The 14,921-nt window shown below is 38.4% G+C and overlaps 1 protein-coding gene across 17 annotated transcripts in view, besides 2 other annotated features; it reads right to left on the bottom strand.

Moving 5' to 3' along the window:
• The window catches only part of UNC5D (unc-5 netrin receptor D), a 561,066-nt gene that overhangs the window by 417,408 nt on the left and 128,737 nt on the right, over nucleotides 1–14,921 (bottom strand). The gene's annotated exons all lie outside the window — the stretch shown is intronic.
• Nucleotides 1,319–1,818: an enhancer, noted in NCBI's record as "OCT4-NANOG-H3K27ac hESC enhancer chr8:35234833-35235332 (GRCh37/hg19 assembly coordinates)". NCBI's record gives its function as "activates a minimal SCP1, AML or CMV promoter by ChIP-STARR-seq in naive H9 embryonic stem cells {active_cell/tissue: H9 hESC(naive)}" and the evidence as "EXISTENCE:reporter gene assay evidence [ECO:0000049][PMID:30033119]".
• Nucleotides 1,819–2,320: an enhancer, noted in NCBI's record as "OCT4-NANOG-H3K27ac hESC enhancer chr8:35234331-35234832 (GRCh37/hg19 assembly coordinates)". NCBI's record gives its function as "activates a minimal SCP1, AML or CMV promoter by ChIP-STARR-seq in naive H9 embryonic stem cells {active_cell/tissue: H9 hESC(naive)}" and the evidence as "EXISTENCE:reporter gene assay evidence [ECO:0000049][PMID:30033119]".

Genomic DNA, 14,921 nt, shown 5'->3' with positions numbered 1-14,921 from the left:
CCACTCTAATGTTAGCAGTCCTATTTCCCCAGTCAGCAATGGAGGAAATCCAAAGAATTATCTATTCTTCTCAACACAGGAGGTAGCTGTAAATATAAGGCCAGATAATTTGCTTCTATCCTTTCTAGGGTTTTGTCAATCATCAAGGACACCTGCTGAATCACATCCACTCCTGCACCTGACAAAACCAGAGACACTGCCTTTCGCTTTTTAGTGTAAGGTGCAGATGAAACACAGTGAGAAGGCAATTTGACTGAGGCTACTACAGGAGTTCCCCAGCCCACCATTCCCATTCTAGACCACACCTGTTCCATTCCTCATCCATCCTGCACCCTGTTAGGCCACAGGACCTTTACAATTCAGGTGTATAACAGAAATGCTCAAAATTTTCATCTCTCTTTAGAGCTTCCACTGGCAAATATAGTAAAATGAGTTCTAAAACTAATGGATTGATGGTGTAGGCACCATGTCTGTGTGGCCACATGGCTTCCAAAAGGGAAGAGAAACAGATTCCAAGCCAAGATCAGGCAGGTGCAGCCAAAAGTATGAATGCTGGATGATTCACACCTCTGGCAGGAGACATCAAATGTAGCAAACCCACAGGGTAGGGCAGGGTCTCAAATATGGGGCAAACTGAAGGGGGTGAGCCTCTTGACATCAACCTAGGCTTGCAGTCTTGCAAAAATGCTTGAAGCACCCTTTGTGTCCTGATAGATGTCACGGAAGGCTTGCACTACTTGCTCTTCAAGTCCTTTTGCTGTGCCCAGGACCCATGTGGAAGATCAGACACTCCAGGGAAGTACGGCAAGACAACTAGGGGGTTGACACTAAGTAAAAAATGAATCATAAGAGAAAATTTTCTGTTTTAGCAGAAGATAACATTTATAAGGTACTTTGTATTAGAAAGGAGAGGTATTGAAAAATCATGTGTACATCATATTTGTTAACAAGGGCTTCCATAAGGCAGGAGATAGGGGATCGCAGTCAGGAAGCCAGCATGCTTATCCTCTTAGAGGAGTTTTTTAAAACAGTAAAGGTTTGGGGGCATAGAGTGACGGCATGTGAGTGACCAGATAGCAGCAGCCAGAGTGATTTGTAATCACCTAATCACTGGGAACCAAACATTATACAAAGAGTTAGGGGGAGGACAGCACAAAGCAGGAAAAGTTCTGAGTGACACTGCAATGCTTGCAATATGGTGAGAGAATGAAGGATGAGCTTCCTAAAAGAGGAAAACAGAAATAAAGGACATAGAACACAGACTGATGACTTATCTCCAGAGGAAAACTAACTGTGCATAAAGCAAATCAAATGACTCACATGAGGCATTCATTTTAAAAAGTCTAGATATGACCCTTTGCCTAAATCCTTCAGAAAAGCGACCTAAGATGTCACAGGGATCCAGCAGTACCCACAGATACGAATGTCTTCCCCTTGCCTCACCTGGGGCACCTCTGATATATATTGTCACCTTTCTATGTAAACACAGACAAACTAGGGAACAAGGGCAGATGAATCAAAGGAACTCAAGCTGTCCCTGCAGTCCTAGCTTGGTTTACAGATACATTCCCAGCCTGCTCAGCAGGAAGCTGAGGTCAACATGCTGGAATGTGGCACGGGGAGCTTTCCCACTGAGCTGCAAATACAGAAACACTCCGCTTTAATAACCCCAATCCCGGGCCCTGCAGAGACACACGGAGCACTCAATGCCCTGGTGCTGCCTGCTGTGCTTTCCAGGAGAGCTGTGCTCAGTAGGAGCTGTGTTCACAGGTTCCTTCAAGACCTGAAATGCAAATAGGACACCTGCACTTCCACAGCACAAGACAACAGTCACTCCAAAGCTGAGCCAGGAGAGGATCCTAAAAGAAAGCCTCACCTTGTTACACAGGTGAAAGGACCACTGCATCCCAGCTCAGATTGGAGTGTCCCCAAATAGTTTTGTAATGGAGGTCTGCCATCATCCATATAGCACGCAAAGAGTATTTGCTAGGCAACAAGGCACTATGCAGAGGATGACCTGAGAAGCAGATAAAATGATACACCACCTGGTGTGCTCTTGTGAAAAAGCCTCATATCCAACTGAAGATGACAACACATACGTAAATTAAATATGCAAGGAGAAATAAGCAGTCAATCAATAACAAATCAAGTTTACCAAAGGAAAGCAGAAAAGAGGAAGGAGTGCACTATGAGATGAGGGGCTCAAGGATGCTTTTATGAAAAAGATATGACTTTTGCTGGTCCTTAGAGGATGGTAAGTCGTGGACTGATGGTGACATAGCAGTGATCATTCCTGGCGGATGAACACTATGAACAAGTGTGTGGAGAAGAGGGTTGCTGGCTAGAGTTCAGAGATCACTGTGGACAGCAACTGCATGTTGCAAAGGAAGGTTAGGACCAAGTGCAGAAGGCTTTGAATAGATTCCATTATCTAGACAGGAGGGATCACTAAAGTTTCAAGTTGGGGAGTGACATCCAAGGAGTATGAAAGGAATCATGGGTTTTTAGGACATGTCTTCCCACAAATTTTCATCAACTCTCTTTTTATCAATGGCATAAACTTCCAAAAAGGCATCTGCTCCTCCATTCTCGCTCTAAATAGACATGCTTCCCTACATACATATCATCTATGTTTTTTAGCCCAGTGTTCTTTCCAACCAAGCTAGGCACCCCCAATTTACACTGTTTACTCACTCACCCCTGGGTCCGGGGTTTAGTCTCACCACATGGGACTTTTCAGAAACAGGATCACTCGTTCTTCACCAAATACATCATTCTGTAAAAATTCTCTCTGGCCTGTGGTCAGAAGGTATGATAATCTCTTCTTTTAGGTAAAAGACTTTCAGGAAGGACTTGGAATTCCAACACACTCCTCTTTTCTCCTGTTGCTGTTGCTAACTAGTGCAAAAAGAAAATGCATGGAACAAATGATTGCCCCAAATCAAAGGGTTCCCCCAAGCAAATGATACACAGCATATCACTTACTCTTTAGATAGCACCACTACAGCACATTTCAATTCGTTTTGATAACTCCAATTTTACTTGAGATAGAAAGTGGTAAGATTTTGTATGTATGTGATCAAAAAACACATAATACAAGTAGGTTTCAGCACCATAAGATACAGATTGCAGTTTGACCAAATCAACGTCTGGAAACATCTCAAATTTCTTCTGAGATTCAGGAGGTGGGAGAGTATAAAGAGGTAGAATATCTGGAATTTTCATATTGAAAATCATATTATATTAAAAATCTAAAAATCATCAGCACTTGGGATTCCAAGCACTGCCCTGGGCTCTAACACAAAAGGGATTAAAAATATAATTCCTTGTTTCAAAAATGCATTTGAACTAAGGGGACAAATTCAATTGCCAGACAATTCCTTTATAGCTTTAGAAACTGCCGACTCCATGAAATGCAGCTAAATTAACAGTTTGGATAAGAGAAGAAAATTCTCAATGACTTTTATTTATTCTATTGCTTTCTCTCAAATGTTGGTGATTTGTAACAAATGAAATTCCATTGTTAAAATTAAATATAGATTGTAAAGCCAACACCATTAATCTTATTTGTTACTATTATTGTATGGGCATTGGTTTGCCATCACTGAGCATGGTCTGAACTGTAACTCACGTTCCTTTTTTGTGTGCATGTTGTCTTTTTTATTAGATAAAAGCCCAACTGCGGGAGGAGGGTTTCTTAACCATCTCTGATTTCCCCATGTAGAATTTGTTGAACATTCTTTTTCTTCTCTCTCCTTCCCCAGCACCTGTAAGTATAGCAAAGATCAACGTGTGGAACATTAAGAACCTATACTTCAGTGACTCATGCTAATTATCTTGGTGCCTTTAACAGACATTTTTTAGTTCAATTACTTTGTGATTCCACTGCAGACAGAGTCTTACACAGAGAGAAAACTCATAAAGCTTTCTTTCTTCACCTTTCAACGCAACAGAGATGGAATGAACCTACATGTAAATATTTTTTCCCCGCTCTGGATTGTACTTAAAATATTTTTCCCTGTAAAACAACCTCACTAATTTCAACTGTTCATCACAGGCTTTAATAATTTGGATATAAGCCTTAGCTGAAGTCCACTTTTCTATTATATAGGATTTTAAAAGTCAACTATGAAAATGAATAATATAGAAAATGTTGTAAAAAGAACATTTAGCTCCTTATAATAAAACTAATTTTCTCATTCTTCTTAGAAAGTTCGTTTATGTGAAAATTTGATCTGCTAATTAAAACTAGTCTTACCTCCTCATTAAAGTAGAGCCCCAAAGAATCTCAGACAAAACTGTCAGCATTTAATTCTCAATGCATTATGCAACCATAAAATGTATTTTTAAAAAGTTCTATAACTCCAAATTGTCACCAGTTCTGCTTCCCTAACAAAAGGTCTGAACCAATGAAGATCCTGGCTATACATGTGCCATCTCTGTTAGAAGGCAGAGGAAGATTAAAGATAAATGAAACGGGAATTTAGTGTGTCCTTTTGAGACAGTAACAAATAAGCATTTGGGAGCTCACTGATGCCTGACATGAGATGTGAACGTGGATGTGAGGAAAAAGCTAGTTCCTAATAGTCTCCTTTTGGTCTAGTCTCATTCCTGTGAGCAACCTAACTCTACCATACTTAGTCTATTCTTCATAAACAAAAGCTTTGCACATGCTTTAATCTGTACATTGTTACCTTCTTGTAGCTCTTAAGGAGACTGCTTTCATAGTAACTTTTCTTGCTCAACGGAAATGGCTCACTACCCTTTGAAAACTCATTCTCATTAACATTTCTTTCCTCCAACTTCTTTTCACCAGTACAACTTTAAAACTCTAACATCACATCATCATCTTTGGACACCTGGCTAGGAACACCAGACAAACTCTATTTAAAACACACACTTTCTGTCATCGTTTAAGTGAATTACATCTTGCACTAAACAGCAAAGGAATAGTTTATGGTAAAAGCAAAGTGAAGGTACAGTGGTTAATTTCTCCAACTGAAATGCAGTATCATCAATACACATTTAGGATGTCCATTAAACTACCAGTATGTCACCACGAAAACCCACAGGATCTCTCTGCAAAGTTCATATTATTTTTTGAACCAAATCCCTCATATAAAAAATAGCCTTTTAAATCTACATTATTCACTCCCTTGCGCTCCCTTCCCTGAAGATGAAATAATTCCCAGCCCATTTTGGAAAATAAAGCATGCCTGAGAAAGAAAGATCAGTTTGATCTTCAGAACCCTGGTGCTCAAATGAGATAAGAGAGTGTCAGTGGTGAAGTGTCTATCAACACCATTTTTCTGTAATAACAAAAAAAGTGAATATGAATTTAGACTCATGAACTGTGAGCTAACTCTGGGGTTTAAACTTTCAAATTGTGTACAACTGCAGATAGTTGACTCTAATCTCTTCTCTCAGCTCTCAATCCCCTTCCAGTGTAAGCAATCCTAAATGCATTGCTGATATGTTCTCAAGACAGGGTAAATTCAAAATAACATCATCATCTTCCTTATCAGGGAGCCCCTCGGCTGCATGAATTGTCAGCTTTATCGCACCAGAGATAGTAATTAAACCTTCACCAGCTCCAGCACATGTCCCAGCACAAGGAGAACAAGCATGTAGAATCATATTATGTGATGTTTATTAACTAGCAAATAAAAGCTCTGTTAAAAGAATATCCCTGACAGGAGAGAAGAAGGCTAAATAAGTCCATGCTTTATTGCTACATGTATTTTTAAAGAAATGCCTATTGTACTGTAGAGTAGGTAACATTTCCCAGTATGTTTGAAATCATTCACTGAGCACCATATGGTGCAGTAATGTCACTGAACGGTGGGGCACAAATCACTCACAATCCATTTCACTGTGCACTCTTATTTGTTTAAAAAAGCAAAACTATTCTGAAATGCAACACTGCCCTTTGTTACCCTTCAGAAAGAATCAAGATAGGCTGAGCATTAGTGATGCTATTTATTTTTACATAGGAAGCCACAGAAGAAGTACACGTGAAAAGGATACCCTTCAGGAAAGGATATCAAAGTTAGCCAATGCATGGGAATGGGGCAGACCACGGAGGGGGAACTGAGATTCCATTTACATGGCCCCCAAACTAAAGCAAACCACTGGCTCCAAGACTCAACAGAGTTTGGCACTCATTGAAGTGGGCAAAGAGACCATTTGCTCAAAGGAAATATGAATGGATTGAGTGTATAAAAATATTAAGGCAGTGCATAGTGGCTCACATTTGTAATCCCAGTACTTTGGGAGGCCAAGGCAGGAGGATCACTTGAGGCCAGAAATTTGACACCAGCCTGGGTAAAATGTGAGACTCCATCTCTAAAGTGTGTTTTAAATTAGCTGGGTGTGATCACAATTGCCTATAGTCCCAGCTACTTGGGAGGCTGAGGTAAAAGAATTTCTTCAGCTCATAAATTCAAGGCTGCAGTAAGCTAGGATTGTGCCACTGTATTCCAGCCTGGGTGACAGAGCAAGACCCTGTCTCTTGAAAAGAAAAAAAAATAATAAAATATTAGAGCATTTGGCCTATTATGAAATTGAAAGCTTATTCATTTCCTTTCTGAAGCTTCAGGTTCAAATATCAAACAATGGCTATGTAGGATAAGCCCAGCTGCTTCTCTGTAAAAGTATCATAACCCCCCAAAATATACAAGGTTAATCCAACATTAGAGTCAAAAACTAGATCTGGGCATGGTGGCTCATGCCTGTAATCCCAGCACTTTGGGAGGCCAAGGTGGGTGGATTGCTTGAACTCAGGAGTTCAAGACCAACCTGGGCACATGGCAAAACCCTGTCTCTACCAAAAATACAAAAACGTAACCAGGTATGGTAGTGCATGTCTGTGGCCCCAGCTACTTGGGAGGCTGAGGTGGGAGGATCGCTTGACCCCAGTGGGTGAAGGTTGCAGTGAGCCAAGATCACACCACTCCACTCCAGCCTAGGTGACCGAGTAAGACTCCGTCTCAAAAAAAATGAAAACTAAACCAAACCAAAACAAAACCTAGAGATGAGCCAAATCAAATAATACATCTTCCCATGTCATTATCAAATGGTCAGGGTGAGGGGGAAAAGTACAGGGAGTAGCTAGACGCAGATCAGAGGCTAAGATCAAAGACCTAAAGAGCAGATGCCGCCATGTCGTGATGATTCCCCCATAACCCACCCAATTAGACAACGGTTCATTGCTCATCCTTGTTTGGTTTTATTCAAAGGGACAATATATCCAAAGGCCCTAATTAAGAGGAAGGATTATAAAGCTGTCTTTAAACATCTACACCTATTGGGACATTATGTGGAAACACCGTAATACACAGCAAGGCAAATAAAACTAAAAGCACACCAACAAACAAGAAAACCTCTAGGACCCAGAATTGTAGGAGGGTGCACAGGAAATGGCCAGAGAAACAGACTATGAGAGTTATGACCTGGATTTTTTTTTCCTGTGAGTCTTCTGAAGTCTTGATAGCTACAAATGCATAACAAACCATAACTTGGTACAAGTTCTTCTTACCAAATCAGGAAAAAAATAGGTCCTCAGCCAAGTCCTTCCCTTCTCTTCTACAGCAGGTGTTTACTAGACAAAGGCTTGATATCTAGTCATAATTCTCTATGAGTTTTGCATGTCTCTAACATCCCCTTTCCCACTATATTTTTTAAAATGATAATCTCAGCCCAACACAAACCAAAATACAGAATATCATCAAAGGCAAGAGAAGGCACTGTTATAAGTCGTCTTGGCCTGGAAGTAGGAACACTGTTATTTTTCTTTTCTATATTAATGGGACCAAGATGTTATAATCATGATTAAGAGGTGGCAATCCAATGAAGCATATGAAGTATGAAACATAAATCAGAACATATCTAAAATGCTGTGTTCTCCATCTTTGCTATCTGAAAAACTTTGTGTGTGTGTGTGTGTGTGTGTGTGTGCAGTGGCACAATCATAGCTCACTGCAACCTTGAGCTCCTGGATTCAAATAATCCTCCTGCCTCAGCCTCCCAAGTAGCTACGACTAAAGCACACACTACTATGCCCAGTAAATTATTTGCTTTATTTTTTGGTAGACATAGGGTCTTGCTGTATTGAACTGCTGGCTTCAAGCAATCCTCCCACCTCAGCCCCACAAAGTGCTCAGATTACAGGTATAAGCCACCATACCCAGCTTTAAACTACTTTTTAAAACAAATTAAAAATAAATTTGTATGAAATGTCTTCACAAGTACACTGTAAGTAATTCTATATAAATTATCCATGGGTGTCTTCAGATGTGGTTGACTACATTGTTTTACCAATTACTTAGTGATTACATTTATTCAGCCCATTTCCATGAAGGATAGAAACTATGATTAAACTACAACCATTGTTGTGGCATTTGGCTCCATACCAACAAACAGAATAGATTCAATGGCCTCAGCATGGTTTTCATGTTTATTTCATTTCCATGCCTAAAAGTTACTTTCATTATTTGGTTCCTTTTTTTTCTATAGCTAACAGGAAATAAAGAAAAAGCTGACAGACTGTTAAGAAATATATACAACATTCAAACAGCACAAATATAAGTGAACCATAAAAATCTCAGGAAAATTACCATTTTCTCAACAACAGTTTTAATTTTAAATACTTAATATTCATAGGAAATCTCCTAGACACAATTACATTGACAAGGCTTTATACATTTCAAAGGAATATGACAGAACACTTAGTTAAATGTTATATTAAAGATTCATTGTAAATTAAATATTAAAAGGTATTCAACAGATCCAACTGTGGTTCAAATCCATCTGTTACTACAAACTATATTTTTTCTTTAATTTAGCATTGCCATATGCCACGGCAGAGCACCCAAGCTTTTCTTGATTTTCCGTTTGAAAACCCTCCTTCAAAATGAGTAGCCATGGTTAACTCATGGTATTTATTCTTCACTGTAGATGATCACAGAGTCATATTTCACTAGGTTCAAGTTTGAAAGACCACAGATACAATTTAATTAGAGAAAGCCTTCACCCCAAAAGTATTAGCTTCTTACAAAGTCTGCATAAAAAGTCTATCACCAACTTGGCCTCAAGTTATAAGAAACATGAAGAAAAGAAAGAAAGGGAAGATCATATATAATACTTCCAAGAGTGGGAAAGAAAAAATGCAGGAAGGAGAGAGGATACAAAGGTACAGCAAAAAGAGAAAATTGCAACACAGAAAATAAGTGGGTGGGTTTAATTCTCCATTGCTTACATCATGGACAATCTGGTTATTGAATATATAGAGAAAGCCTGACACGGAAGGAGCTAATGAAATCCCTACCAAAGCAAAGCTCAGGAGACATAGGTCTGCTCTTTATAGCCTGTTCTCAGGGGAAGTAAAGACAAAAACAGAGACAAACAAGAGTTATCTATAGATCATTCCACAGCCACCATCATGCCTACTCCCAGAGAGGTTGTACACAAAGAAAACAAACCAGAAGAGAAAAAAGAGCTCCACAGGACACATCTACGCATGGACATGGCCAACTAGACTAAGTCCCAGCACTCCTGGGCCAAGTCAAGAGGTGAAAACTGTGGGCACATGAGATTCACAAACTTAATATGGATTCAGGCTTTCTCTGACAGAGGCAAGAAGCATTCCAGGAAATAAGAACTCTTGTCCAACCTTTCTTCATAAATCTTCCCTATTAGTGTTTTCCACTTAATTATAAAACCACTATCTCTGAAATGTGTATATACTTGAATTCTGCTCCAAAACATCCTAAAATCTTATTTAAAGGAATATCATGCTATCTGTTAATGTCAATAAAATTAATTCAAAGTATAGTTCAATTCTAGATGGTGAGGATGCAAGGACAAATGGTATAGGAGGCCTGGACTCCATGTGATTCTTGATCTTAAAGAACTCATCTCCTAGGGAGAGACACTACCTGAGAGATAGGTGATTTAATTACAGTATACTCACCACCAACACTGTTTCTCTACACTTTAAAATTGTATATCATTAGATAAAATGTGTTTGAAGATAAAGATATATTATCTATAATACATACAGTTATATAATATGATATAGTCTTGTCAGACTGCCATGTTTAATATGATAAAGTCTTAGGTCAGACTGCCATAACAACATGCCATAGCATGGGCAGCTTAAACAACAGAAATTAGTTTTCTCATGGTTCCGGAGACTGGAAGTCCATGATTAGGGTGCTAGGATGGTCAGGGCTGGTGAAGGCTCTGTTCTTGGCTTGCAAACAGACACCCTCTTACTGTGTCCTTACATGGCCTTTCCTCCATGAGTAAGCATGGAGAGAGAGGAAGCTTTCTACTGTCTCTTGTTCTAAGGGACCCAATATCATAAGGGTACCACCCACGTGACCTCTTCCAGACCTAATTACCTCCCAATGGCACCACCTTCAAATAAATCCCATGGTGGGTTAGGGCTGGAACATACGAATTTTAAAGAGACGCAACATTCAGACCATAACAAATATATAAGAGACATAATACATATTATTTATATATATTTAATATAATATACAATTGAATTATAATTATCTATATTATCTTAAATTTACATTTCTTAGGTAATAGTAAAATTTTAATTTATATTACATTTCCTGAATATGATACAATAGGGTGGTTATATAATAGAATGTCTTTGCTTTTAGCAGGTAATATAGGCTGAAGTATTCAGGAATGAACTGTAAAGATATCTGAAACTATCTTTAAAATGGCTTAATTTAAAAGTATCTGTGTGTGTGTGGGTGGGTGGGTGTGCATGCATGCGCACATGTGTGCACATGTGTCGGGGGGTGGCAAATACTGCAAAATGCCAGTAATTGGTGAACCTGGATGAGGAGCTCTAAAACCAGTTTGTTGTTCTATTGTTTCAGCCTCTCTACAGGTTTGAAATTTTTCAAAGTAAAATTGAGAAAAACAGCAAATTAACCAAGATAATGTTTTCAATCTAAATAGTACTCTCATTATAGTTGTACCAGGTTTAAGTTCTCTTTCTTTTGCCAGGCATTTGGAAATATGTCACTTAGTGGACATAATTTGACCTGTTTTGCTTCACCATGCGCTTTCCCACATTATTAAAGCACTTCTAATTAAAAACAAAGGTAGGCATGGGCATACTTTACAAGAAACCTGCTTGCTAATAAATTAAAAATAGAGAGACATATAGAGAAGACGTATAGAGAAACAAACGAGGGAGAGAGATAGCAAGGAGCAAAGGGCCTTGTAAATGATTTATGTGTGGCCAACCTCTTTGTTCTGTCCCACACCACATGACAAGATGATTAACTGGTTTGACTCATTTGGTAGAACAAGCGAAGGAGACCAATCAGAGCAAGTAGAAGCAAACTCCAAGGCTCCAGCAACCCAAAGAACTGTCATTATAAATTCACTCCTCTTGCCTGCTCTGTTTTATGTATGTCCCTGACTAATGCCATATTTTTAATTTTTGACTTTGCTATTTTTATATTTGCCATATTATACCATTACAGAAACAGAAGTGAAGTATTTGAGGGTTTATACAGTTGAGATATGCATGTTCAATAGTTCTATTATGTTCCCAATAATTACAAATGCTCTTCCTCCTCTGGAAAATTGTAAGGACACATTCCCACATCTGCCATCAACACACTAGTCCCCAACATGATTCATTTATGCTTATGTTTTCATCTGGGGAAGACCTGGGTTCCTTTCAATACAAAAACAAAAAGTATATCTGAAGTCAATCTTTCTTTCTGTAGACAGGAAATAATAAATTGAAAAAATAGAAGTTTAATGGCAGACAGGAACTGTGGAAGGGCATGAAAGCATGGGAAAAGGGAAGAGAAGGTAAAAATTTACATATCACTCTTTCAATAAACAGGCAAGTAGGTGGGTAGGTAGAAAGCAACATGCACTAGTTCTAGATGATGCTCTAGAAGTTGTGGGGAGAAGCAGAAAAGTACCCCATGATCAAGTTGGAAATGCTCTTTACTATATCCCCTGAGAGATTCACAATGAACAGCAGCATATGAGAGGTTCTATGAAGTTCTTCTCTGAAAAATTACTAGTATGATTTTAAGAGATCTGCAGCCTGTTGTTACTTCTGTTAACTAAATTAGAACCACTAGAGTCATGTCAAATTGTTACATATTTCACATTATTAATCGTATCCCACTTGGAGTTGTAGAAAAGATTACACTAGAAGAATGATCTCTATTATGACATGAGCTAAGAAAATAATTTCCATTAATATTAGTTGATTGGCTTCTGATCAGGCTGTCTACCATGTGACAAAGAATATGTAATATATCTTAGATGATAATCATGCCACAATAACCCTGATTTTTTAAACTGTTTTCCAATACATTTCCAATTATATCCATAGCCTCTAAATTACTCAGGGGAAGAAGGATCTAGAATGCACATTATCCAGCATCCTAAATTGTTGGACCACAGATGAATCATTCACTTAGCAAATAGGTTGTGGGTGGTGAACACTGCTCTAGGTGAATCTAATGATATATATGATACATATAGCCTTTGCAAACAAAGACTTTACAGGAAGGGTAAGTGGACAATTACATAAGCAAATGGAGGACAGTTTGCTAGATGAGCTGACAAAACAAATACAAAACAGAAAACTCTCACCAGTTCTGGAGAGTCAAGAAAAATACTGCCTGAGAAGTTACATCTAACCTGAGACCTGAAGACCGAGTGTAATTAGCCAAAATAAGGTGGCTTATGTTTGGAGTGGAGGGCGAGCAGGTGTCCATGTAAAGTGCATGCACAAGACCATGTGGCAAGAGAGAAATGGGATACTGGGGCACATGGAAGAAGTTCCTTAGCATCTCTCTTGAAGGAAGGGTAAGGAACAAGGAAAAACAGTGAAAAAATAGGAATCTATGTGCCCTCAAACACTCCAAGACGCCTGATTTAGAAAAAAAAATGCAATTAGTTCACTTAAATGGGGTTTAATTCCAAGAATGCCTATATTTTGGCCAAGCATCCCAGGAATCCATATGGGATCACCTCTTCTTTCCTCTCTTTCCCACTCTGCCCAAATCCATAATATTTTTGGGATAGTGAATAGGTTGTCAAATGTCTTATAATTTGTTTCAGTGACTTACTATGGCCAGAGATTTAATTCTTGTTATGTCTTATTTATTCTTCTGTTTATTTCCTCCCCACAAAATGTGAGCAGTTCTTTCATTGCCTAGTTAATGTAAACCACAGGTGAAACCTTTCAAGTCAGGGCTTCTGCCTTATTTTTTCATTCAACTCTCATTATTTTTCTTAATAAGATGCACTCAAAGCATTCACTAGATTGAAACCTAGCTGGCCTATAGAAGGAAAAACTATTTTATTTAATACCAGGATTCTATTCCTATTCAGTGATACCCTTCCCCATTTCCCCTGGTACCTGGTATCTACAGAAATTATACCTGCCATCTTTAGCTTACATCTCCTCTGCCTGCAAGTGACCAGTTAACTGTTATCCTTCACAGCTGCTTTTTTTTTTTTTTTTTTTTTTTTTTGCAGGGGATGGCATGAAAGCCTAAGAAGATAATCCTCCAGTGAAAGAATTTTGGACAAAAACAGGGGTAGGGAAAGAACTGTGTGGCAGTACATGTTGTAGGGGCTTCCAGTTGGAATCTTTTCTTAAAACTGTTCTTCATGCATTGGTTTTTTTCAGATACCAATATATCTTGGAATTATTGCTATATTAGTTCACAGAGATCTTCATCCTCTGTGACAGCTACATAGCCCTCCATTGTGAGAATGTACAAAAGTTAACCCAACGTCTCTCCTACTGCTGAAGATAGAAGACTGTATAAAAAAAATCTATGCATCTGCTCAGTTGTGCAAAATGAAACACAGGAGGGATATACCAGACACTAATGAGATTGGCTACACCTAGGAGATAATGGGAATGGAATGGTAAGAATGAGCAATCGGGATTGAGGCTGAAAGGATGGGAAGGAGGTATTTCTCCGAGTATAACTTCTCATGTATATCTGACTTCAGAACTATGATCATGTTTCACACATTATATAATAATTAAAGATGAGAAGATGACATACCACTACAAACAAGTGAAACTAACTCTATTATAAATGCATAGCATGATCCACACTGAAGTGTTGAGATAATCTATATGACCTTGGAAATAGTAAATTGACTCTATGAAGATGAAAAGAACTTCACACAGATAGATTTTCTTTCACAGGGGTATGGGTTAGAAATTTCAATACTACTTTTCTATATTCCTTGATTAACAAATAAGCAAGCATATCATTTATAATGGTAGCCAACTTCCACAATGGAAAAGAGTTAGAAATAAAGAAATAGTGAAGGGGTAGGTTCTTGTTATGTCAAATTGAAATTAGAGGTACTGCGATAAACTTGTGGATTTTAGTATATATACTGATAGGTATGGAAATGTATACAAATGTGTGTATATATGTGTATGTATGTGCATGTGTATGTACATACATTTTCTAGTCCTGTTCACTGAGAAGGCCTGAAACCAATGGTACTCCAATAACAATAACATGCCTTACTCCCCAACCATGGTTTCCAAATACTATTCTGTAATAAAAGCAACCAGGAATCATTGGTAAAACACCCTAATTCCAGGGTCAGAGCAAGCAAAGCACAAGATGAGCCTGGAATAGCTTGTGGTATCATAAAATAGGAAAAGTGCTTTAGAAAATGATGGGGACATCAAAAGAAGACAGCAGCTCATTCCAGGGGCCTCATAGCAGGCAAATATGGGATAATTTTGACCAACAAAATACATGACAGCAATGAAAACTGAACCAAAAGCATAATAATCCATGAGCTCATGCTAATATAAAGAAATAAAGTATAAGAGAAAGCATGTCTTTACCATAGAGTACCAAGTGACAAATATA

This window comes from Homo sapiens, chromosome 8, assembly GCF_000001405.40.
Source record: "Homo sapiens chromosome 8, GRCh38.p14 Primary Assembly".
Taxonomy (NCBI): domain Eukaryota; kingdom Metazoa; phylum Chordata; class Mammalia; order Primates; family Hominidae; genus Homo; species Homo sapiens.
The sequence above is the reverse complement of the archived record's forward strand: the minus strand, read 5'-3'. Positions and strand labels throughout refer to the sequence as shown.